We start from the raw sequence: 27,227 nt of genomic DNA, 5'->3' as shown, positions 1-27,227 counted from the left end.
ATTTTTTCATATGTTTGTTGGCCAATTGTACATCTCCTTTGAGAAATGTCTGTTCATGTCCTTTGCTCACTTTTTAATGGGATTATTTGTTTTCTTGCCGATTTGTTTGAGTATCTTGTAGATTCTGGATATTAGTCCTTTGTCACATGCATCGTTTGCAAATATTTTCTCCCACTCTGCATTGTCTTTTTACTCTGATGATTATTTCTTTTGCTGTGCAGAAGCTTTTGAATTTAATCAGATTCCATTTATTTATTTTTGTTTTTGTTGCATTTGCTTTTGGGGTCTTAGTCATAAATTCTTTGCCTAGGCCAATGTCCAGAAGAGTTTTTCCTAGGTTTTCTTCTAGAATTTTTATGGTTTCAAGTCTTAGATTTAAGTATTTAATCCATCTTGAGTTGATTTTTGTATAAGGTGAAATATAGGGATACAGTTTCATTCTTCTACATGTGGCTATCCAACTTTCCCACCACCATTTATTAAATAGGGTATTCTTTCCCCAATTTATATTTTTGTATGCTTTGTCAAAAATCAGTTAGTTGTAAGTATTTGGCTTTATTTGTGGGTCTTCTATTCTGTTCCATTGATCTATGTGTCTGCTTTTATACCAGTACCATACCGTTTTGGTTACTATAGCCTTGTAGTATAGTTTGAAGTTGGGTATGTGTTGCTTCCAGGTTTATTCTTTTTGCTTAGGATTGCCTTAGCTACTGGGTTCCTGTTTGGTTCTATATGAATTTTATAATTGTTGTTTTATAATTCTTTGAAAAATGATATTGATATTTTGATAGAAATGCATTGAATGTGTAGATTTTTTGGCAATATGGTCATTTTCAATGATATTGATTTTTCCAGTCCACAAGCATGGGATGTATTTCTGTTTGTTTCATTTATTATTCATCTATGTTTTCTTTCAGCAGTGTTTTATAGTTCTCCTTGTTGCGATTTTCCACCTCCTTGGTTAAGTGTATTCCTAGGTATTTTATTTTATTTTTTGCAGCTGTTGTAAAAGGGATTGAGTTCTTGATTTGATTCTCTGCTTGATTGTTTTTGGTGTATAGCAGTGATACTGATTTGTGTATGTTGATTTGGGAACCTAAGACTTTACTGAATTCATTTATCAGATCTAGGAGTCTTTTGGAGGAGTCTGTAAGATGGTCTAGGTATACAATCATATAATCAGTGAACAGAGATAGTTTGACTTCCACTTTTCCAATTTGGATGCCCTTTATTTCTTTCTCTTGCCTGATTGCTCTGGCTAAGACTTCTAGTAATATGTTGAATAGAAGTAGTGAAAGTGGGCATCTTTGTCTTGTTCCACTTCTCAGGGAGAATGCTTTCAGCTTTTCCCTGTTCAATATGATAGTGGCTGTGGGTTTGTCATATATGGCTTTTATTATTTTGAGATATGTTCTTTCTATGCCTAGTTTGAGGATTTTTATCATAAAGGGATGTTGGATTTTATCAAGTTCTTTTTCTGAATCTATTGATATGATCATATAGTTCTTGTTTTTAATTGTTTATGTGATGAATCACATTTATTGACTTGTTTATGTTGAACCATCCCTGCATTCTTAGAATTAAACTTCTTTGATCATGGTGAATTATGTTTTCGATGCACTCTTCAGTTTGCTAGTATTTTGTTGAGGATTTTTCTACCTATATTCATCAGGGATATTGTTCAGTAGTGGTTTTGTTGTTGTTGTTGTTGCTTTTTTTTTTTTTTTTTGGCTACGTCCTTTCTTGACTGGTATCAGGGAAATACTGGCTTTATAAAATTAGTTAAGGAGGATTCCCTCCTCCATCTTTTGGAACAGTTTTAGTAGAATTGATACTAATTCTTGTTTGAATGTCTGATCGAATTCAGTAGTGAATCCGTCTGGCCCTGAGGTTCTTTCCTACATGTTGACTTTAGATAGCCTGATGACTGTAAGCCTTGGTGATATCCTTTTTGCAATGATTTTCTCAGGAGTTCTTTGAGCTTCTGAATGTCTGAATGTATCTGAATGTCTAAATCTCTAGCAAGGCCAGAGAAGTTTTCCTCAGTTATTCCCTCAAATAGATTTTACAAACTTTTTGATTTTTCTTCTCTCTTAGGAACACCTATAATTCCTAGGTTTGGCCATTTTACATAATCTCATATTTCTTGGAGACTTTGTTCATTTCTTTTCATTCTTTTTTAAAAAAATTGTCTGATTGGGTTAATTTGAAAGTCTTGTCTTTGAGCTCTGAAATTATCTCTTCTAGTCTGTTGTTAGACTCCTTCTAGTCTATTGTTAAAATTTGCACTGCATTTTCTAGTTTCGTAAATGTGTCTTTCATTTCCAGAAGTTCTGATTGTTTTTTTATTTAAAATATCTCTTTAGAACATTTTTAATTTATATCCTGAATTCTTTAAAAATCCTATTTGTTTTTCACCTCTCTATTGTATCTCCTTGAGTTACTTAATAATCAACCTTTTGGATTCTTTATCTGGTATTTCAAAGATTTCATTTTGGCTTACACCCACTTCTGGAGAGTTAGTATAATCTTTTGGGGATGTCACAGAACCCTGTTTTTAATATTGCCAGAATTATTTTTCTGGTTCCTTCTCATTTGGGTAGACTATGTCTTCTAATTATTTTTGTATTTATTTTTGATTCAACTGGGTTTTTTTAAGAATTTCATTTTTCCCCCTTGAGGATGTGCTTTTAATGTTTATAGTTTATTGTCACCTAGCTTTGGTTCTGGCTGCTTTCAGTGGTGGACTCAGTATGAGTTCCTTGATTATAGAAAATCTTCATGCAATGGGTTTCTCAGATGCTGGTAGTCGTAGTGATGTGGTGGGTCTATGGGTTCACTGTCTCCTGTGTGGCTGGAATGGAAGAGGTCTCATGACACTTATCTTGTTGCCCCATGGTGTGCACTTTAAAAAGTGTTTTATCCCAATTACTTTATTCACTGGATTGAATAGTTCATGCTTCAGGCCAGTAAGCGGTACCCATGGGTAAAAACTGGCTGCGGCTAAAGCAGGTGAGTAAATGCAATACCCCAGTGTTGGGCAGACATCTCAGCCTTGACAGAGCAGGCTGGGGAAGCTGCACTGAGGACTTTTCAAGGGGAAGAGAAGGAGCCACCGTGACTCTCCTTCCAAGCCAGCAGGAAAGCGATCCACCACCCAGTCACATTCCCAACCCAATGTTCTGGTTATTCAGATCAGACAAACACCTCATTTCATTTTTAGGAATGCTGATGTTCCATTTAGAGAGGGGTTGTGACTCTACCTCTTGTGCAAGCCTGGACCTGGAGGGTGTTCCTCCTGTGGGGATGTTGTCACCCTGAAGTACTCCAGTAAGGCTGTCCACAGATGGTGAGGGGGAGAAGTACCCTTCTCTAAGACCCTTCATGAGCACCAGGGCTGCCTGACTCTTGAGCTCAGTACTGTACCTATGCCTCTGCTGAAACTCCCCACAGGTGGAAAATTCAGGGGCTCATGGCCTCCAGTCTGGTTTCTTTTGTCCCACAGGGTGCTTCCTTAATATGGAACACTCCCCTTCCCCCTAGAATTAGCAGTCCCTGAGAGCCAGGCTACCGTGAATCTTGCTGCTTCTTTGGGTCTAGCTGCCCAGTGAGGCTGCCACACCCCAGGTTGGTGCTGGGGAATGTCTGCAAGGAATCCAGAGATGTGACCTGTCCTCTAGTTTCCCAGTAGCAGGTACCAGTACCAGCTCTGATGGAGGTGGAAGAGGAGTGACGTAGACTCTGAGATTTCTTTCATTATAAGTAGCCTTAGTGTGTTGGCTTTCTCAAATGTCAGCTGTAGTAGTGATATACTGGCTCATGGACAGACTCAAGATCTCCTGGTTAGCCAGGCTGATGCAGGCAGTGGTGACAGCTGAGGTTGTGCAAAGGTTTTCTCCTTCCTGAGCCAGGAAGAAGATACAATCTGTTATCTGACCTACAGATGTTGTAACTGGCTGTTCAGTTGCACACCAGCCAGGAGATGGTGCTTTCAAAAGTACAGCAGTTATGGTGGTAGCAGTGGAATTTGTGCTTGCCTTATGTTACCCAGGGGAGGTACTCTGATGTCTCAGGCAATGGGTGGAGCCATGGAACTCCCAAGTGTCCTTGTCTTTTGTGTTATGCTACCAGGGCAGGTGGAGGGGTAAAGCTAGGTTGGGGATGGGTCAGGCAAGTCTGTGCTCTGGCTCTCCACATGTAGGCACAAGCAGCAGCCCCAGTGGGAAGCAGAAGGCAGCTCCCTGGCTGCTGGAGTAATGTTCCGGGGAGGAGCACAGCTGCCTCTGCTACACAAAAGAATCTACACTGGGAGGTGGCAGTAAGCCCCACTCAGCTCCCACACTCTTGCAAGGCAAGTCTTACACCCACAGTGATCTGCTAACAGCAGCTAACTGGGTTTCAGGCAGCTTGTTTCAGAACTCGAAACTTCCCCAGACTATAAGCCTTCCCTATGGAGATGGAGTGACTTTCACGCCACACCCTTTCCTGTCTGCCCATGAAGCAAAGGTGTCCAGCTCCTGCCCCCGTGGTGACAACACACTTCAGGCTCGCTCCTCTGGTCTGGCCAACGAGGTTCGTTCCCACTTGAGATTATATTGCAAACCTCATTTGGGAGCTTCTCTCAACCTGTGACCACTGCCTGAATTAGCTGGCCAACTTTTGCGAGGTTCGTTGTGAGAATGGATCAGAAATGGCTTTCTTCCATCCCTGCTGGAGACTGGGAGTACACACTGATGCCGTTCCTTCTCATATATTCCCCGCTGCTCACTAAATCAGCTGCAGCACTGGGTAGGGTTAACGCCTTCTCCCCATGGCCTGGATTTCCTGGCTTCCCAGTGGGAGTGTGTGTCACGGTGGCAGGCTCTCCCCAATTCACCCTTGGGAGGCTCCATTTTCCGTCTGGTTCATGATGTAGGCTGTTGCCCATTGCTTCCTTCAAAGGGTCTGTGGTTTCTTTCCATTTTTCGGTTAAGTTCCTGTGTTGCTTCTTGGAAAAAAGTTCACAGTGTGAGTTCCACACGCTATTTTGTCTTTCCGGGTGGGAGAGGCATGCCAAAAATACCTCCAGTTAGCCATCTTGGAGAAAAAAAATAAAACAAAAAAATGACTTTTATTTTCTATTGTTAAAGTAAATGTTTTATGATGCCGGTCCATAGAAATGCAACAGATTATTTGGCTTGTTGATTTTTAAATGCAGCCACCTGATTCATCACTTTAATTAATTCTCATAGTTTCACTTGTAGATTCTTTTTGATTGTTATGTGAATAATTATATTTGTGAATTATGGCAATATATTTCCTCTTCTTTAATCCTTATAACTCTTTTCTTGTCTTACTGCAAGATAAAAATCTCTTATAGAATGATGAAGAGACGTTTCTGGATTTTAAAAGGAATACTTTAAGGTTGCACCATTAAGAAAAATATTTGCTGTAGGTTCTTAGCAGATAAATTTATTATCCTTGTTTTCTGAGTCTTTTAAAAAATGATACATGTTTTATTTTCTTAAGTGTTTTTTCTGCAGATAGTGAAATGATCATATGATTATTTCATCTTAACCCATTTAGGCCTAGTGTTCCATTATTGGAACGCTAAGCTTGTGGAAGTTATTTATATCCTACTGCTCAAGGTCATCACCAAGGTCTGATTTTTCACACACAAAAAATGTGCAACCTCCTGTATAAATGGGTTAATCTGGTGAATTCCATAGAATTTTAAAATTAATATTATTTTTAGTTGACAAATCATAATTATATACATTTTTGGGGGTAAAATGTAGTGTTTTGATATACGTAGGCAATGTGGAATGATTAAATCAAGCTAATTAACAAACCTATTATCTTATTCTTTTTTTTGGTGAGACATCTGAAACATACTTTCTTAGTTATTATAATACATTATTATAACTATAGTCACCCTCCTGTGCAATAGATCTCAAAAACGTATTTCTCCTGTCTAACTGAAACTATGTACCCTTTGACTAAGAACTTCCCCATTCCCTACCTCTAATATCTGCCCACACTCCCTCAGCATGTGGAAACCACCATTCTTCTCTCTACTTATCAGAGTTCGACTTTTTTAGATTCCATGTAAATGAGATCATGTGATATTTGTCTTTCTATGCCTGGCTTATTTCACTGAGCGTAATGTCCTACAGATTCATCCATGCTGTTGCAAATGACAGAATGTTCTTCTTCTTTAAAGGCTGAATTGTGTTCCATTATGTATATATACCACATTTTCTTTATCTACTTATGCATTGATGTATACTTATGTTGTATACTGTAAAGTAAATTACTACAGCCATTATGGAAAATAGTATGAAGATTTCTCAAAAAGCTGAAAATAGAACTACCATATGATATAGCAATCCCACTCCTGGGTATATATCGAAAGGAACTGAAATCAGTATGATGAAGAAACAGTTGCACTTCCATGTTTATTGCAGCATAGATTTTTCTAACAGTAAACCAGCCTTGAACAAGACTCTTCCTTCTTTACCCCCCACACACTGCTAGATTCTACTTGCTAATTTCATGCATATATTTTCAGGAGTGAAGATGGCCTGTAATTTTCCTCTCTTTTAGTGTAGTTTTCTAATTTTGATTATAAGGTTTCATTCACCTTATAAAATGAGTTAAGGTGTATTATTTTTTCCCCAAGTCTAGAAGATTTACTTTGCGGAAGGTTAACCATTTATGGAGTTTCTCCAGTGGAAATCAGATTTTATTTATGTCTTCTTAAATATATTTGAAAAGTTATTCTTTCTAGATATTTGACTATTTCTTTTACTAGTAACATTTATTAGCTTAAATGATTTTCATAGCATTTTCTTATTGTTTTAAGCTTTCTCACTCTAGTTGTGTCTCAATTTATTTCTGATATTGTTTGTGCCTCTCTTTTTTAATAGGTCAATTCACTGAAATATTGTTTATTTGTCTTTTTAATGAACCAACTATTTGCTTTTTGTGTCTTATTTTTATTTCATGAATGTCTGCTCTTTGTTGTCTTTCTTGTAGCTTTGTTTTTCAATTTACTCCTGCTGTTCTATTTGTAAGTTGATTGCTTAACTGATTAATGTCCAGGATTTCTTCTTTTCTAATTTTATTATTTGAGACTATCAATTTACTTTAAGGTATCACTTTTTTGTGTCCCATAAGTTTTTATTGGTATTTTCCATGTCATTAAAAATTCTAAATGTATGTAAATCATATTTAAATTCCATCATGATTTATTTGCTGCTTCATGAATTACATAAAAATGCATTTAAATATTTATGAATGTGTGGAGACTTGTTATTTTTATTTATTGACTTACAACTTAATTTTATTGCAGTTAGAGAATGTGATCTATTGATATTCTTTGCAATCTTGATATTTCCTTTATGATCTATTATGTAGCCAATTTAAGAAAATACTCCATGTATACTTTAAAAGAATGTATATTCTTTGAGTTCTGTATTTGTCTATTAAATCAAATTTGCTAATTGTGTAGTTCAAATCAACTATTTATTTACTAATTACATTACTAATTGAAACATGAAGTATATCTCTATCACTTTCTTCATATAATTTTACAATTAGTTACCTCGTCTAGCTTAAGGCTAACTTATTAGATACATAGTTTAGTGAATAGAACCTTTTACAACTGTGTAGTGACTCTCTTTATCTCTGATAATGCTTTTTAAAGAAAAAATAGAGTTGGTGTGTCTGAGCTGTTGTCACTCATAATAAATGTATGGGTTCTTTCCACATCAACAACCAGTTCTTCAACTCTCCAGACACTAAATACTCTACAATTCAGTTCATTTCTGATACTTAACTACCCTGAGTTTGTGCCAGACTCCGCAGGTTTAAGCGCTCAGTCCTATAAAACCGTCCTTACTTCAGGCACCAGTTGCAAGTATGAGGTGCCCAGGGTACCTACACATCTGTCTGAGTTAGCTGCAAAGTCAGGGATTCTCACAACCCACTCTTTCTAATTCAGTAATTTACTAAAATAACTCATAGGTTTCAGTTTTTTCCTGATTTAACAGGCAAATACTCTTATTTTCAAAATATATTTTTCTAGTTACCAATTCTAGGTTGACAGTTATTTTCTCTCAATATCTTGAATATATGATTGTGTTGTGCCTGCCTTTTGCTATTGAGAAATCTGTAGTGGGTTTAGTTGTAGATTTTTTGGTGATCTGTCTTTTATAAGATCCTCTCTTTGTCTTGAATATAAAGCAGTTTCATTAAAACTTCATCCTAATATAGGTATGTTTCTTTTTATTTATCCTGCTTGGGCTATGTCATGAGTCCTATATCTACTGTTTATCTTCCAGCAATTTTGGAAAATTTTCATTTTTTTCTTTCAAATTTTATCCTATTATTTTATCTGTTTTCACCGTGGGATTCTACTACATCTGTATTAGATCTTCTCATTCTGCTGTCTGTGCTTTCATTTTTTTTCTCTTCGTGCTTCATTCAAGCAGCTCTAATTTCCATTTTACTAATATAAATTAGTATATTTGGCTCTCTCTTTAGCTATGTCTAATCTGGTATTTCACCCATCCTTCACATTTTACATTTTAAAATATATATATTTTTCAATGTAAAAGATACTACTTAGTTCTTATTAAAAATCTACCTGTTCGTTTTGTTTACATTTAAAAAATATTTGTGCATGTTTTTAATTGAATTTCATTTTCTTAAACATCTTATGTGGAATAATTTTATATTACGTATCTGAAAATTCACATATCTGAAATACATGATAGCCATACATCTTATTTCTTCTTTTACGTATGTTCTCTTATTTATTTGTTTGTTTGATGGTCTTTGATTTTGAGCTTATATTTATTTAATATTAAGCCATGGGGTTGAAAAATTGCTAGCTCAAAAAGTGTGTGCTTTCTTCTAGAGATTTTTATTTCTTGTTGGAGTCCAAAGGGTGTTCATAACTTGAGTCCCTGGCTTAATGAAGAAAACTCAACATCCACATGCACCTTGAAGCTTCCTCTAGCAAGCTCTTACTCTTTGGACCATATTACTTTTATCAGTATTTGCCCTCAGAATAGCATCTATCCTTATTATTCATTGCTTACCGCCTAGAATTTGAAAAGTATGAATGTGTGTATATGTGTGTACATATGCCTGCATGCTTGTGTATTGAGAGAGAGAGAGAGAAAGAAAGAGACAAAGAAGAGAGAGAGAGTGCATATGTGTGCTAAATCACTGAGGTTTGGACTTGATAGTCCTCACTAGTCATGTGAGCTAGGCTTTCATTAAAACCTAGTTTTTATTAAATATCTAGTTTCTTTATGTTAAGGGGTTCTTTGGAAATGCCAGTCTTCCACACTTGTAGAAATAGGCACTTGTTGCTCTAATTTTTACAACAGACTGAATTTCTTCCTCCCTACAAACTATTCTCTGGGTTTGTTAAGAGTATTTTATGAGATCACTTAATAAGAATCTACTGAATATATTTCTTGCATTATCTATACCCTGTTGTCCCATCTTTAAACTTAAGTAGTATGAACTTTTACTGAGTATCTGTCATTTCTTACTATTTTTTTAGTGCTTGAATGCTAGACATTCTGGACTATTCCTATAGAAATTGTTGGTCTTCTAGTCCCCAATTATGGTTTTATAGCTTTCTGCCACTCCTGTGTACATAAATTATAATGACATTTAGAAACGTATAATGTGATGATGAAAGCATTATTATCCCTTAAGTCAAGAGTAATGATTATAATGATAGTTAAGGTAATTGTTTTTTTTTTTTTTTTATTTAGAGGTCTTTTATTTAAATCATCTTGTATCATGTCTGACACTTTTTTTTTTTTTTTTATACTTTAAGTTTTAGGGTACATGTGCACATTGTGCAGGTTAGTTACATATGTATACATGTGCCATGCTGGTGTGCTGCACCCACTAACTCGTCATCTAGCCTTAGGTATATCTCCCAATGCTATCCCTCCCCCCTCCACCCACCCCACCACAGTCCCCAGAGTGTGGTATTCCCCTTCATGTGTCCAGCTGATCTCATTGTTCAATTCCCACCTATGAGTGAGAATATACGGTGTTTGGTTTTTTGTTCTTGTGATAGTTTACTGAGAATGATGATTTCCAATTTCATCCATGTCCCTACAAAGGATATGAACTCATCATTTTTTATGGCTGCATAGTATTCCATGGTGTATATGTGCCACATTTTCTTAATCCAGTCTATCATTGTTGGACATTTGGGTTGGTTCCAAGTCTTTGCTATTGTGAATAATGCCGCAATAAACATACGTGTGCATGTGTCTTTATAGCAGCATGATTTATAGTCCTTTGGGTATGTACCCAGTAATGGGATGGCTGGGTCAAATGGTATTTCTAGTTCTAGATCCCTGAGGAATCGCCACACTGACTTCCACAATGGTTGAACTAGTTTACAGTCCCACCAACAGTGTAAAAGTGTTCCTATTTCTCCACATCCTCTCCAGCACCTGTTGTTTCCTGACTTTTTAATGATTGCCATTCTAACTGGTGTGAGATGATATCTCATAGTGGTTTTGATTTGCATTTCTCTGATGACCAGTGATGATGAGCATTTTTTCATGTGTTTTTTGGCTGCATAAATGTCTTCTTTTGAGAAGTGTCTGTTCATTTCCTTTGCCCACTTTTTGATGGGGTTGTTTGTTTTTTTCTTGTAAATTTGTTTGAGTTCATTGTAGATTCTGGATATTAGCCCTTTGTCAGATGAGTAGGTTGTGAAAATTTTCTCCCATGTTGTAGGTTGCCTGTTCACTCTGATGGTAGTTTCTTTTGCTGTGCAGAAGCTCTTTAGTTTATTTAGATCCCATTTGTCAATTTTGGCTTTTGTTGCCATTGCTTTTGGTGTTTTGGACATGAAGTCCTTGCCCATGCCTATGTCCTGAATGGTAATGCCTAGGTTTTCTTCTAGGGTTTTTATGGTTTTAGGTCTAACGTTTAAATCTTTAATCCATCTTAAATTGATTTTTGTATAAGGTGTAAGGAAGGGATCCAGTTTTAGCTTTCTACATATGGCTAGCAAGTTTTCCCAGCACCATTTATTAAATAGGGAATCCTTTCCCCATTGCTTGTTTTTCTCAGGTTTGTCAAAGATCAGATAGTTGTAGGTATGCGGCGTTATTTCTGAGGGCTCTGTTCTGTTCCATTGATCTATATCTCTGTTTTGGTACCAGTACCATGCGGTTTTGGTTACTGTAGCCTTGTAGTATGGTTTGAAGTCAGGTAGTGTGATGATGCCTCCAGCTTTGTTCTTTTGGCTTAGGATTGACTTGGCGATGCGGGCTCTTTTTTGGTTCCATATGAACTTTAAAGTAGTTTTTTCCAATTCTGTGAAGAAAGGCATTGGTAGCTTGATGGGGATGGCATTGAATCTGTAAATTACCTTGGGCAGTATGGCCATTTTCACGATATTGACTCTTCCTACCCATGAGCATGGAATGTTCTTCCATTTGTTTGTATCCTCTTTTATTTCCTTGAGCAGTGGTTTGTAGTTCTCCTTGAAGAGGTCCTTCACATCCCTTGTAAGTTGGATTCCTAGGTATTTTATTCTCTTTGAAGCAATTGTGAATGGGAGTTCACTCATGATTTGGCTCTCTGTTTGTCTGTTGTTGGTGTATAAGAATGCTTGTGATTTTTGTACATTGATTTTGTATCCTGAGACTTTGCTGAAGTTGCTTATCAGCTTAAGGAGATTTTGGGCTGAGACGATGGGGTTTTCTAGATAAACAATCATGTTGTCTGCACACAGGGACAATTTGACTTCCTCTTTTCCTAATTGAATACCCTTTATTTCCTTCTCCTGCCTGATTGCCCTGGCCAGAACTTCCAACACTATGTTGAATAGGAGTGGTGAGAGAGGGCATCCCTGTCTTGTGCCAGTTTCCAAAGGGAATGCTTCCAGTTTTTGCCCATTCAGTATGATATTGGCTGTGGGTTTGTCATAGATAGCTCTTATTATTTTGAAATACGTCCCATCAATACCTAATTTATTGAGAGTTTTTAGCATGAAGGGTTGTTGAATTTTGTCAAAGGCTTTTTCTGCATCTATTGAGATAATCATGTGGTTTTTGTCTTTGGCTCTGTTTATATGCTGGATTACATTTATTGATTTGCGTATATTGAACCAGCCTTGCATCCCAGGGATGAAGCCTACTTGATCATGGTGGATAAGCTTTTTGATGTGCTGCTGGATTCGGTTTGCCAGTATTTTATTGAGGATTTTTGCATCAATGTTCATCAAGGATATTGGTCTAAAATTCTCTTTTTTGGTTGTGTCTCTGCCCAGCTTTGGTATCAGAATGATGCTGGCCTCATAAAATGAGTTAGGGAGGATTCCCTCTTTTTCTATTGATTGGAATAGTTTCACAAGGAATGGTACCAGTTCCTCCTTGTACCTTTGGTAGAATTCGGCTGTGAATCCATCTGGTCCTGGACTCTTTTTGGTTGGTAAACTATTGATTATTGCCACAATTTCAGCTCCTGTTATTGGTCTATTCAGAGATTCAACTTCTTCCTGGTTTAGTCTTGGGAGAGTGTATGTGTCGAGGAATGTATCCATTTCTTCTAGATTTTCTAGTTTATTTGCGTAGAGGTGTTTGTAGTATTCTCTGATGGTAGTTTGTATTTCTGTGGGATCAGTGGTGATATCCCCTTTATCATTTTTTATTGTGTCTATTTGATTCTGCTCTCTTTTTTTCTTTATTAGTCTTGCTAGCGGTCTATCAATTTTGTTGATCCTTTCAAAAAACCAGCTTCCTGGATTCATTGATTTTTTGAAGGGTTTTTTGTGTCTCTATTTCCTTCAGTTCTGCTCTGATTTTAGTTATTTCTTGCCTTCTGCTAGCTTTTGAATGTGTTTGCTCTTGCTTTTCTAGTTCTTTTAATTGTGATGTTAGGGTGTCAATTTTGGATCTTTCCTGCTTTCTCTTGTGGGCATTTAGTGCTATAAATTTCCCTCTACACACTGCTTTGAATGCGTCCCAGAGATTCTGGTATGTTGTGTCTTTGTTCTCGTTGGTTTCAAAGAACATCTTTATTTCTGCCTTCATTTCGTTATGTACCCAGTAGTCATTCAGGAGCAGGTTGTTCAGTTTCCATGTAGTTGAGCGGCTTTGAGTGAGATTCTTAATCCTGAGTTCTAGTTTGATTGCACTGTGGTCTGAGAGATAGTTTGTTATAATTTCTGTTCTTTTACATTTGCTGAGGAGAGCTTTACTTCCAAGTATGTGGTCAATTTTGGAATAGGTGTGGTGTGGTGCTGAAAAAAATGTATATTCTGTTGATTTGGGGTGGAGAGTTCTGTAGATGTCTATTAGGTCTGCTTGGTGCAGAGCTGAGTTCAATTCCTGGGTATCCTTGTTGACTTTCTGTCTCGTTGATTTGTCTAATGTTGACAGTGGGGTGTTAAAGTCTCCCATTATTAATGTTTGGGAGTCTAAGTCTCTTTGTAGGTCACTCAGGACTTGCTTTATGAATCTGGGTGCTCCTGTATTGGGTGCATATATATTTAGGATAGTTAGCTCCTCTTGTTGAATTGATCCCTTTACCATTATGTAATGGCCTTCTTTGTCTCTTTTGATCTTTGTTGGTTGAAAGTCTGTTTTATCAGAGACTAGGATTGCAACCCCTGCCTTTTTTTGTTTTCCATTTGCTTGGTAGATCTTCCTCCATCCTTTTATTTTGAGCCTATGTGTGTCTCTGCACGTGAGATGGGTTTCCTGAATACAGCACACTGATGGGTCTTGACTCTTTATCCAACTTGCCAGTCTGTGTCTTTTAATTGGAGAATTTAGTCCATTTACATTTAAAGTTAATATTGTTATGTGTGAATTTGATCCTGTCATTATGATGTTAGCTGGTGATTTTGCTCATTAGTTGATGCAGTTTCTTCCTAGTCTCGATGGTCTTTACATTTTGGCATGATTTTGCAGTGGCTGGTACCGGTTGTTCCTTTCCATGTTTAGCGCTTCCTTCAGGAGCTCTTTTAGGGCAGGCTTGGTGGTGACAAAATCTCTCAGCATTTGCTTGTTTGTAAAGTATTTTATTTCTCCTTCACTTATGAAGCTTAGTTTGGCTGGATATGAAATTCTGGCTTGAAAATTCTTTTCTTTAAGAATGTTGAATATTGGCCCCCACTCTCTTCTGGCTTGTAGGGTTTCTGCCGAGAGATCCGCTGTTAGTCTGATGGGCTTCCCTTTGAGGGTAACCCGACTTTTCTCTCTGGCTGCCCTTCACATTTTTTCCTTCATTTCAACTTTGGTGAATCTGACAATTATGTGTCTTGGAGTTGCTCTTCTCGAGGAGTATCTTTGTGGCGTTCTCTGTATTTCCTGAATCTGAACGTTGGCCTGCCTTGCTAGATTGGGGAAGTTCTCCTGGATAATATCCTGCAGAGTGTTTTCCAACTTGGTTCCATTCTCCGCATCACTTTCAGGTACACCAATCAGACGTAGATTTGGTCTTTTCACATAGTCCCATATTTCTTGGAGGCTTTGCTCATTTCTTTTCATTCTTTTTTCTGTAAACTTCCCTTCTCACTTCATTTCATTCATTTCATCTTCCATCACTGATACCCTTTCTTCCAGTTGATCGCATCGGCTCCTGAGGCTTCTGCATTCTTCACGTAGTTCTCGAGCCTTGGTTTTCAGCTCCATCAGCTCCTTTAAGCACTTCTCTGTATTGGTTATTCTAGTTATACATTCTTCTAAATTTTTTTCAAAGTTTTCAACTTCTCTGCCTTTGGTTTGAATGTCCTCCCGTAGCTCAGAGTAATTTGATTTTCTGAAGCCTTCTTCTCTCAGCTCGTCAAAGTCATTCTCCATCCAGCTTTGTTCCGTTGCTGGTGAGGAACTGCGTTCCTTTGGAGGAGGAGAGGCGCTCTGCGTTTTAGAGTTTCCAGTTTTTCTGTTCTGTTTTTTCCCCATCTTTGTGGTTTTATCTACTTTTGGTCTTTGATGATGGTGATGTACAGATGGGTTTTCGGTGTGGATGTCCTTTCTGTTTGTTAGTTTTCCTTCTAACAGACAGGACCCTCAGCTGCAGGTCTGTTGGAATACCCTGCCATGTGAGGTGTCAGTGTGCCCCTGCTGGGGGGTGCCTCCCAGTTAGGCTGCTCGGGGGTCAGGGGTCAGGGACCCACTTGAGGAGGCAGTCTGCCTGTTCTCAGATCTCCAGCTGCGTGCTGGGAGAACCACTGCTCTCTTCAAAGCTGTCAGACAGGGACATTTAAGTCTGCAGAGGTTACTGCTGTCTTTTTGTTTGTCTGTGCCCTGCCCCCAGAGGTGGAGCCTACAGAGGCAGGCAGGCCTCCTTGAGCTGTGGTGGGCTCCACCCAGTTCGAGCTTCCTGGCTCCTTTGTTTACCTAAGCAAGCCTGGGCAATGGCGGGCGCCCCTCCCCCAGCCTCGCTGCCGCCTTGCAGTTTGATCTCAGACTGCTGTGCTAGCAAACAGCGAGACTCCGTGGGCGTAGGACCCTCCGAGCCAGGTGTGGGATATAGTCCCGTGGTGCGCCGTGTTTTAAGCCGGTCTGAAAAGCGCAATATTCGGGTGGGAGCGACCCGATTTTCCAGGTGCGTCCGTCACCCCTTTCTTTGACTCGGAAAGGGAACTCCCTGACCCCTTGCGCTTCCCAGGTGAGGCAATGCCTCGCCCTGCTTCGGCTCTCGCACGGTGCGTGCACCCACTGGCCTGCGCCCACTGTCTGGCACTCCCTAGTGAGATGAACCCGGTACCTCAGATGGAAATGCAGAAATCACCCGTCTTCTGCGTCGCTCACGCTGGGAGCTGTAGACCGGAGCTGTTCCTATTCGGCCATCTTGGCTCCTCCCCGATAGTTAAGGTATTTGAATGCTTCCTATGAGATACTATATCTGAACAACTCTTATTCTAATTTTATAGATGAGGATGAATAATTTGCAGAAGACCACACAGCTTATATTAATGCAAATGTTAGTATTTTATTTTCTCATCTGAAATATGTGAAAATAACAAACTAAGGAGAGTTCTTAATAATAAACACAAAATGTTGGTAGTAATTACTAGATTTTCTGTTATATCTCCATTTACGTTTATTGTTGCCTCAGTCCCTGACCATGTTTTGCAAAATATGTTGCAGAATGATTTTCATTCTTCAGGATGGCTAGATTGGGTGGCTGTATGCAGCTTCTTGTATTTCCAAACACAGGGAACCTGTATCAAGCTTGGGCCCATGCTGCCTTATTCTATCTTTAAACTTTTAGAGAACCCAGAATTAGCTTGAATGAGTCTAGACACAAACCATCAACCAGCGGCATGTTTCCATAATATTAACCATTTACTTTGAGTTTTGTAGGTGTTGCCTGCTTACGGGAATATTTGAGCTTGGTCTCTAATCATATTTGATACATATTTTTACAAATCTCTTATGTGACTAAAATGTTCAGTTTAAAATGTATATACCTTTAAGCATGAAACATAAAGTTTGGTTGGTAATGGACTCAATAATGTGTTCCAAATATCTGCATAGTGCTAAAAATGAAAATATTGGAATTGTGTAATTTGGCAAATTGAAAATACTAATAAATCCTACTGTAGGATGTCCATGAAAGAAATGCGTTTCCCTTAAACTTATCCTGACAAAAGAGAAACATATAATAAGATGATGATCCACTAAACAACTGAACATGCAAGCATGAATTGTAGAATCTTAAGGAAACCAGTAATTCCCTCACACTCTACAGAGGAAATAATTTCTCTACAGAGAAATAATTTTTTTGTTCTTTTTAATTTTTTTCCTTGCTTGATTTTAGTCTTCCTTGTAAGGAAAAAGCTCGTTTTCTGGAGGGACCTTGCCGAAGCAAGACCTTTTGATGGTGTGGTCAGAAAGAGAGCAAATCTTTCCTTTTTATTAAAAAGTATTGGCTAATGAACTTCTTCATCTTTTGGCTTTTCCCCAGCTTATTTGGATTCCTCAGTTTAACTTCCATTTCTCTTAAAGCACAACAAAAACATTCTAGTTGTTAGGACATCTACCTTAAATGCTAGGAAGATGTTCAAGTTTTTAACTCCTAAGAATAAAAGATGACATAGCAGGGAAGAGCTAAACTAGGAGCTAATGAAGTCTGTTTATTCTATATTAAGACATTTCTAAATGCAAAAGCTTTACAGTAAGAAACTGATTATCTATGAAAAAATCTTTTTTTTGTGAAAGGAAGAGTTCTAGGAAAGCAGATAAATTTACAACCAAATTGAAGGGTAATAATAGCAAAATCATGGGATTATGTTAAGCTAAAAAATAAGTAAATGAAAAACTAACATGATTGGTGGTGAAGTATGGATTGTTGTAATGAATATTTATTTTGAGTTTCTTATCCTATATTATTTTTAGAGGACTGCATATATGATAATTATTGCTGTCTTTGGTGTCCAGCCAGTTCATACCTTCATCTTTCAACAGCACATTTGAGTTGCATGTTATTCTTTACATAGAACTAAATATATCCTGATTTGCAATACATTTCCTATTGCGGAAATGTTACAAAATTATTCAGTGACGGCAGTAATTCTTATATTATAAACTCGTTTTATTTTATTTAACATATATTAAATGCCAGACATTATTCTGACCACTTATTTTTTACTCATGTCATGTGATAATTGAATATTTGTATACTGCTTTAAACCTTAAAAAAGTAAAGAAACTTCATAGATTTGTAGAGTTCTGTGCCATTTTTTTCTCTTATTAGCTTTTCTATTACCAATCAACACATTTAATCTCTTTCCTGCTACCCACGCTAATGTGTTAAAACACTTCATACTTCCTGCAAATATTCTTTTCTTTTTAAAAATTTTTTAAAAATATTTAAAAAGTTGTTTGCTCACTCTACATTTTGGATTATTTACTTCAGTAGATTCCCAAAATTTGCAAAGATGATTTCAACTGCAAATAAATCATTCCATTCTCTTTTTCACCTTTTAAAACGTTTATTCAATATTAACAGCCAATTCTGCATTCTTTTCTAAGTAATAACATCAATGGTTAAATGCTTCAAAATTAAGTTCTTTATGATTTTGGTAGTGTTTTCCATTTTGATGAAATACAAATGTGAAATTTTTCAGGTTTATCATATTTAGGTACCATATGTGATCCTTTACAAAGCTGCTTTATTAATGAAGAAAAAGGACTCATTTCTGCTTTTACTATAGCCCATGAGCTTGGGCACACGTAAGTACCTTCTGTCACCTCCTTAATGTGCATTCTATTTATCTTTGCACAGAATGCCTGAAATTCTATCTTCAGTTGAGTAATTAGTACCTTTGTTTCTTCATAAAATGTTATTAGTGTAATTTTCTTCCCTGAAATGCTAACTCTGGCTCTTTTGTGATCTATGTTAGGTCAGACAGGCTGCACAGATCAACAGACTAAGCAAAGAACTAGAACTTGGGAGTTCTTTTATTTCCTTTACTGTATTGGATACATGACAAGCACTTCTGGCCTCTGTCTCTTGTTATCCTATATATGACCAGGTACTGTCCTCTACCATTTTATGGGAGGGCCTGCATGGGCTCCTGGTTCTGGGGGACTCCCCCAAATATTTGTAATACCAACTCATTTCTTGCTCTCAGTAATGTGCCCCAACAGAGGATATTGCCCATGGGAATTTCTTAGTTACTAAAAGATTTTTTTTAAAGTATTCACTTTTTCCATAGTTGCTCATAAAAATTTGGGATTCTCTTACCTTTTCCTGTATTACTGAAAAATATGCTGGGGTTCTGTGTTGTAAGAATAGAGGCCGTGATTTCTCATGATACCCTTGGAGCTCCCATGGAAAATCAGAAACCCCTACAAATGTATCCTCTGAAAAAAGATTCTAAATGTACCCCTCAGAACTCCTGGTGTTTCTTTGTTATCTGCTAATAAGGACCTGAGTCTAGAGTTGCCTCTGTTAGTTTGACCACATTTAATTTCCTAGTCATGCCTTGAGAAATCATTAGAACATTCAAGGGGAATAATAATTTCAAATGGAGATAATTTTTAGTAAACGATCATCTCTTCAGTTCCCTTTTTGCATGGTTATATCTCATAATCATCAACAAGCTACACACTTTATTTTGTAAGTTGTTTATGAAGTCGGGGGATAGGATGAACAGAATATCTGAGGACAGTAGAAGTATTGCGGCAACATCTGGGTGGCACTATGTGCTGGTTTTCAAGGCTACTAACCAGTAGAAGACGATTTTTGCAGAGAGTACTATCTTAGATATTTGTTTTCTTCCTGAGAAACTCTTTAGGTGTCTCTAGTATATGGGTAAGTTGTTTAATTTAAAAGATTGTTTAAATACAAATTTTAGCAGGCAAGGATCTGAATTAAGTGGTTTCAGTGTTCCTTCTAAACTTGAGCTTATACTTGAGTTCCCCCCAAATTGTATAGGATCTGCTGCCAACCTGCTAATTACTTAATAATTAAGTCATGAAGATGTGACTGCCCTTTAGGAATGTTTTTATTATTCTAGTTCTGTTGGGCATCACTTAGGAAGTATGGACCTAAAATAGTATTTAGGGTCTTTCATATAAAATAGATGGATACTGTAGAATGGTGAGAATTGGGGATTCACGAAGTTCTTGTGATATTGTAGCCATAGTCAATGGTCTAGAATTTAGTGTGGTATTACCTTTACCTAATCTCTATCCACACACTTCTCTATCCACAACATGGGATATCCATGTTGAACCTGCAGGCACTTTTATGTCAATGCTGTGGTCCATATTGTGATGAGGTGCAACAGAGTCCAAATATTTTGATTGTGTAGATTCAGATGCCAGATCACCAGCCTATAATATTTCTCAGTCATCAGGTACTTCTAAACATGAACACTGTTAAGGCCTTATGGATAGATGGAGTTCAAATTATGATATAACCAGATTTATCTATATTTTATATTGTATTATAATGTGACTATAAAGGATCTATTACTAATATCGTAAGCATCTTTTGATATTCCTTTTAAGTGTTTATTTTTATTTTTAGACTTGGTGTTCAACATGATGATAATCCTAGATGTAAAGAAATGAAAGTTACAAAGTATCATGTAATGGCCCCTGCTTTAAGTTTTCACATGAGTCCTTGGAGCTGGTCAAACTGTAGTCGGAAATATGTTACTGAATTCCTAGAGTAAGTAAATTTATGTTAAATAATTGAACATGTATTCGATTATAAGATTTGAAATTGATATTTTTAAAGGTGGTTCAATTTCTGTTTAGCTTTTTCTTGTTTAAATTTATGTTTACTTTCACTGTACAAATGGATGTTTAAGAACAAGAAGAGTTGTGTTCATGTGTACATATATATATATATACATGTATATAATTTCACTCTTTAAAATAAATATTTTTATTGTAGTTTAGACCTAGCTATTATTTTTTTATTCTGGATTCTTTCTTGTGATGAAAACTATGTTTGATGGGAGACTTAATGGGAATTCCAGTTTCCTTATGTGTTTTTGAATTTTTTCGAAGTGACTAGGTAATATTTTGAGAGAAATTTGAGTGGCTCAAGTTTGAGGTGCCCCTGAAGGACAGAGAATAGCTAAAGTCAAACTACGAATTATTCTGTTAGTTCTCTAAAGCCACAGAGATGCCAAGTCTCTAACTTTACATATTCTTTCAGGAGCTCTTTCTAGCTCTGCAGAGAGGTAGTAGATCCAGGTTTTTCTTGCCTCATTTCTCCACCTTCCTTCAGGTTTCTCTGCTTCCCAATTTCTTTTATCCAAATGGTGTTTCTTTCTCAGTCACTGAAACTTTTCCAAAAGGCAAGCCTGAGCTCCTTCCCAATAATCTTTTTGTATAAATGTAACACTACTTCACTTCTTCTATGGATGTATTCTAAATCATCAATTATCATCAGTTATTTTCTAATTCCCTCTTTATGAAACCTATGGGGAAAAATAAAATCATGCTTTGGAACATATATTTATAAATATATCCTCAAATTATAACCAACAGTGATAGTACATACTTCTATAGGAGCTTGACTTAAAAGCACAACTTAATACTTGCTGATCTGTACAGAATTGTATATAGCTTTGTTCAATGGTTAAAAATACTGATGTGACATGTAAAAATACCAATGGTGCACTTTTCTTTTTAGAAGGGAGTAATATTTTGATTTTCTTCAAAGGAAATTTTTAAGCTTACATGTTCATTTAATTGGAAAATTTATATTTTTCCTTTTAGCCAGTAAAATTTTTCAAAAAAGATTTATTTTAATTATTGCAGTGGGACAAATTGTTGCTCTTAGCCCAATTGGAATAGCTGTATATTTCCACAGAGCTTTCTGCATACCGGACATTGCATGGTAAATTAGGAGTAATATGTATATTTCTCATGTTTTTCCTAAGTCATTCAAACATATCATGTATTCTGATAGCATGTTAAAAGATATTACCACTCTCAATTTACAGATGAGGAGACTGTGGTTCAGGGAGAGAGGGAGATTAAAAAATTTTTCCATGGCCATGCATCTTAGGAATTGATGGGAACCAAAATGTAAGCTCCCAAAGCCAGTGATCTTGACTCTGCTATACTCCCACCTTGAAAGACCTCTTGAGGTGGAGACAGCATAAAACTTTTTGAAGCTTCTTTGTTGTTGTTGTTGTTGTTTAGGACTAGAAATATACTTTCTCAAGTGATTTTAAAACTTATTTTTCCAACATTTTAACAGTTAGTCATTACACTTGAGGCATTACTATTGGATAGCAAAGTAGACCAAAAGTGTGATATGGATGTATGTTTCATAAATAATGTTCTGATGAATTTGTGTTTATTGCTTATCATTTTTTAAAATTGCCACCTTCAAGATGGTTGTGGGGATTAAGTGCAAACATGCATATTAAAGATCCTTTGTAAACTGTGAGGTCATCCTTATGTGTACGAACATTGCTATACTGATATTGATGTGAGTTGGTTTTTAAAGTTATGAATAAATACTGATATTCTCTTTGAAAGTAAAGAACTACAAAAAATGTGATAAAGAATCATACTGGAATGCATCCATGTGTATTCACAATATTTTATTTTCTGTCACTGTTACAGTACTGGTTACGGGGAATGTCTTCTTGACAAACCAGATGAAGAAATATATAATCTGCCTTCAGAACTTCCTGGATCACGATATGATGGAAACAAGCAGTGTGAGCTTGCGTTTGGTCCTGGGTCACAAATGTGTCCCCATATAGTAAGAAAAGAAAATTCCTTTATTTTGTTCGAAAACTGCCATAAAGTTATCTTAGAATATATTTCAAAATGTGTTTATTCTCTTGAACTAAATATAGCTTTTAAGTCTGATAATTTAGTATTTATCAAAAAGAGGTTAAGAAAAGGAAAATTAAAACTTATTGACTACTTATTATGTGTCAGGTACTGTTTTGGGTACTTAAAAATTATCTTTGTTAACTCTCAAATTCCTATGAAGTATTCTCATTTAGAAAATAGGGAAGTTATATAATTTGAAAATAAAATCATTGAAATATTTATTTTCAAATGATATTATTTTGAGGTTAAGGAGAAAATATAGGTGTGTTGAATCTGAATTGTTTTAAAGGCACCAGGAATCTAACTAATAGAGTACATTTTCCTTTACATATATTTGAATTCAAAAGAATTAAATTTGGGGCATATTGTTTAGTTTTTCATTGAGCTATTATTTTATAATATTTTGAGGATTTTTCATAGATGAGATACCTTTGTCATTGAAATAGTTGATCCTAACACTTTTATTAGATCTATAATTATGATTTTCTTTTATATGGGGGTAAATTTAGGATTTAGTTTAGAATAAATGTCACTGCTTTGGTGAATCCATGCTTTACTTTTCCATGTAGAGTACTCATTCAGTTTTCCTTATTCCCTATATATTTTTGCCTAATTGCTTCCCTCCCTACTAGGTTGTGAGGATCATTGGACCAATTCCGGAATGTAGACTTATTCAGTCATTAAAATAAATATCTATATCTATTCCTAGGGTCCAGTTTAGGATTTGTTGCACAGTATATGCCACAAAATAAATGCTTATTGAATGTTGAAAGAATTAATTAATTAGAGAATGTAGGACAGGCAAAACTTATTTCATATAGCGACTATTCTTCCTAAAACCTTAAATTTCAATAAGCCTTTAAACATTTACTGTGAAATGGGGAAGATTTACCTTAAAATATCATTGTAAAAGATACATTTCTTTCCAATCTGATTTAGACACTAAATAAACTTTGAATTTAAATTCAGAAAAAGAAAGGAATTATATTGGGTATAGCTCGTATGACTCTCTGTGGACTTTTGTTTCTTTCGAAACCTTCAGAGCCCTTTGTTCAAAAGTTGAAAGTATGCATTATATTCACAAAATAGGAAACTTCAGTATACATTATACATTATTTCAATGCAGATTATTCATACATTCCACTATTGTATCAAAAGCGGCTTTTGGCAAATTCTTATGAATAATATTTAACAATAAAAAGTTCTTTAGAAAGATATCTTGTAAAGAGAGAAAACTATCTCAAATAATTTTGAAAATTTCCACTCCAATTCATAACTCCTATTCAATGTATGAATAAAATTTTTTTAAAAAGTTTTAAAGAAAATGTCACAATTTTATGTATTTAGAAGAAAATTAATGACTAGAACTTAGTAAAAAAATTTGCTGATTAGTTTCAGCTTATACCATGGAACTAGGTAACAGATCAATTTATAAATCAATGTGTAATACTGAATTGAACCAGTGTTGTGGTGTTATCTTTACACTGGCTTGCCTGCCTTTTGTTACTCAGGAGAATATATGCATGCATCTGTGGTGCACAAGCACAGAAAAGCTTCACAAAGGCTGTTTCACTCAACACGTGCCACCAGCAGATGGAACAGACTGCGGTCCTGGAATGGTAGGTTTTCTTGAAGGGTGAGTCTTGTATGAAGATATTATCCAAGGATGTGATTGCTCTGCATTTTAGCACTCTGTTTGTTATTTGCTGTCAACTTTTCTTCAGCTAGTCGAATTAATGTTATTGCCATGTTTGTTTGATATAGTACATTGTCAATGAATTAAATCTTTAATTTTACCCTATTTCTAAGCTATGGCAGATGAATATTAAAGTTTTGTATAGTTAGCATATAAATAATTACATGGATATATAGTTATCTATGTATATTATAACATTATTATTAAAATTGAGGACAGATATAACAGTCCTAATATTTTGGCAAATTCTCCAAATTCAGGGATGTTTTCATTTCATACGTTTTCTCCCTTAAAATTCCGTTAATACAATTGAAAGTTTTAAGTGGCTTCTTTAGACCTTTATTGTTTCTAAGTGTATCAAGATACATTATACCGCTAAAATCAACCACCTACCATGCTAGGTCTTTATTATTCCAACAGTCATGAACTTATCTAAAGCTGTCAACATGATGTTGAATAACGCTCACCATGATAATGAAAAGTGTCTTGTGAGAGGATGAAGTCAGAGTGTACTTTGTGCTCCAGGATGGCCTCAGTGGCCAGTGTTGACTACATTAAGTGTTTAGTCTGTCAGCATCTCTGAGCTCCCTCAGTGTAAAAGGAACACTTCCTTGGCAATGGATTGGCTAATTGTGCCTCTTTGTTACCTTCACATTAGCCAAAAAAGATAAACTGCTTAAAAATAAGGTCAGTTCAGTAGCTGAACTTTGCCTTTACCACTTCTTGCTTCCTTGAAATATTTATAATAGCTATTGCTTTTCTCTTGAATCACTTGCATCAAAAGGTGTGTGTTTCCTGTGAATATTGCTCACATCACAAATTAATTGGTTACTAATATATTATTTGGAACTTCAAGTTTTGTAGCAGCTGAAGTACTCATTGAAATCATCTAACACACTAATAACCTTTTTGTAATTTTAGGACGAAAGTTCTAGTGGGCTTTTTCAGTTCAGCTGGCTTTGAATTTTAAAATTCAATCTTTATATAATGTTTCTGTTTGGTGGATAAGAGTTATTTAAAGGACTTTATTTTTTTCTCGGTTCCTGTGACTAGTATTAGTAAATAGCTTTTTGAGTAAGAGGTGGTATTTGTGAGAGTGACTACCTGAGGCTCAGCAGAGGAAAAAAAATCTTTTTGAAGTATGAATGCTGGGCTGCTGATATGGGCACATTTGAAGATGTGCTCCAAGATGTTCACCTGATTAAAATCCAGGACTGGCACCTTCCTCTGTTCCTTAGCAACTTTTCAAGTTACTGTATGCCATGAACCTTCAGGATTGATTGCTCGTGGCAAAAGTGTGATTGATATATTTACAAATATTAAGAGATATACTATTTATAGCTAATTTATTAATATTCTAAATCCAGTTAGGGCATAAACATGATTTTTTGAAATTAAGGTATATATGAGTATAATGCATAGATCTTAGGTATACAATTTGATGGATTTTAACAAATGTGGATGCACATACAGCCAACATCCCAATAAAAATGAGAACATTTCTATCACTTTAAAAAGTTCAGTTGTGGCTGGGCACGGTGACTCATGCCTGTAATCCCAGCACTTTGGGAGACCGAGGCAGGCGGATCACCTGAGATCAAGAGTTCAAGACCAGCCGGGCCAACAAGGCAAAACCCCATCTCTACTAAAAATACAAAAATTAGCCAGGCGTGGTGACAGGCGCCTGTAATCCCAGCTACTCAGGAGACTGATTCAGTATAATCGCTTGAACCTGGGAGGCGGAGGTTGCAGTGAGCCGAGATCACGCCTTTGCACTACTAGGGGACAAGAGTGAGACTTCGTCTCAAAAAAAAAAAAAAAAAAAAAAATATATATATATATATATATATATAATTTAGTTGTGCCTCTTATCTAGGCAACTCTCCTTCCTTCCAGAGAAAACTCCTATTCTGATTTTTATTTCCAGAGATTCGTTTTTTTCTTGTTCTTGTAAGTAGAACTATACAGCGTCATCTTTTTTGAAGGAGTGGAATGGGACAGGCGTCTTTTGTTCAACATAATATTTTTAAGCTTCATCCATATTATTGTGTGCATTAGCAGTTCATTCCTTTATACCACAGTATAATTCAGCTATACAGATGTACTATAATTTATCAATTCTCCTGTCAATAGATATTTGAATCATTTCTTGTGTTTGGTTATTATGAATAAAGCTGCCATGAACATCCCTGTACAAGTCTTCTTGTAGACATACGTTTGTGTTTCTCTTGGTGTAGAATTGCTGGATTATAGGGTGAGTGTATGTTTAACATCATAAGACAGTGCCAAACAGTTTTCTGAAGTATGTGCACCATTTTAGACTCCCCCCAGCAATGGAGTAAAGTTCCAATTACTCTGTATTTCTTGCCGACTTTTGATACTGTTAGTCTTTAAAAAAAATTTGGCCATTCTACTAGGTATAAAATGGAATCTCATTGTGGTTTTAACTTGTATTTCCATGATTATTATCAATCTTATGCATTTTTTCATATGCTTATTAGCCATTTGAATATTTTCCCAATGAGATGGTAGGATAGGCATGGATTTATTGAGATTCAAGGTAAATGTGATGAGATGCTAAGATTTACTTTAGAGCCAATGCAGATTGAAAGCAAAGGTGGTATTTGGGGTAGCATCATGTGGATTATAATAGGTATAAATTATCTTTTTTAAATTAATAAAACACAGTGAACCCCTATATATTTAGCTGTATTCAGTATTAAATAAACCTTTTATTGAAGGGACATTTGAAACAAATATTCTATAATTTTGCCTTAACATTCTTCTTTATTCTGTTTATCTTGTGACTATCTAATGAGTGTGTGTGCTGAACACTTTTGGTAGTAAATCAATTTGTGTGAAGCCATGGTGAACCCTTCTGATAATGAGTTAATTTTACTACATGGTGAATAGTATAACGTTATAACTTTTTCATGCTCTAGTCTATCAAATTATTTTTTAAAAAGAGTAAGGATTACTTAAATTTTTTGTGCAAGATGCTAACAAAATGCACACGCACATAGTACATTATGATTTTTTTTTCACTTCTAATATGGCTTTCTTATATTGAATGACTTTTTCTAATGGAGAGCACAAAGCATTTTTACTGCTATAAGCTTGGCTGTAGGTTTCATTCAATCAGCAAAGATTTAACAAGGGCCTATTATGTCAGGCACTATTTTAGGTACACTATTTCTCATTTTCTTCTGTTGCTGTAGGAT

At 36.0% G+C, this 27,227-nt stretch overlaps 1 protein-coding gene across 3 annotated transcripts in view, besides 1 other annotated feature; it reads left to right on the top strand.

The window, feature by feature from the left end:
* ADAMTS20 (ADAM metallopeptidase with thrombospondin type 1 motif 20) overlaps positions 1-27,227 on the top strand; it is a 199,441-nt gene that overhangs the window by 65,380 nt on the left and 106,834 nt on the right. Inside the window, exons 8-11 of one of the 3 annotated variants that reach the window (XM_011538754.3) lie at positions 18,119-18,224; positions 20,029-20,172; positions 22,092-22,233; positions 23,822-23,929. In XM_011538754.3, the coding sequence (XP_011537056.1) occupies positions 18,119-18,224; positions 20,029-20,172; positions 22,092-22,233; positions 23,822-23,929 (500 nt within the window). Of the gene's footprint in view, positions 1-15,359; positions 18,527-20,028; positions 20,173-22,091; positions 22,234-23,821; positions 23,930-27,227 lie in introns of those variants that run through there. The other 2 variants (NM_025003.5, XM_017019979.2) reach the window with 2 other exon arrangements.
* Positions 15,096-15,636: an enhancer, noted in NCBI's record as "H3K27ac-H3K4me1 hESC enhancer chr12:43864991-43865531 (GRCh37/hg19 assembly coordinates)". NCBI's record gives its function as "activates a minimal SCP1, AML or CMV promoter by ChIP-STARR-seq in primed H9 embryonic stem cells {active_cell/tissue: H9 hESC(primed)}" and the evidence as "EXISTENCE:reporter gene assay evidence [ECO:0000049][PMID:30033119]".

The sequence above is a fragment of the Homo sapiens genome, chromosome 12 (assembly GCF_000001405.40).
Source record: "Homo sapiens chromosome 12, GRCh38.p14 Primary Assembly".
NCBI lineage: Eukaryota > Metazoa > Chordata > Mammalia > Primates > Hominidae > Homo > Homo sapiens.
This window is presented reverse-complemented; position numbering and strand designations above follow the sequence as displayed.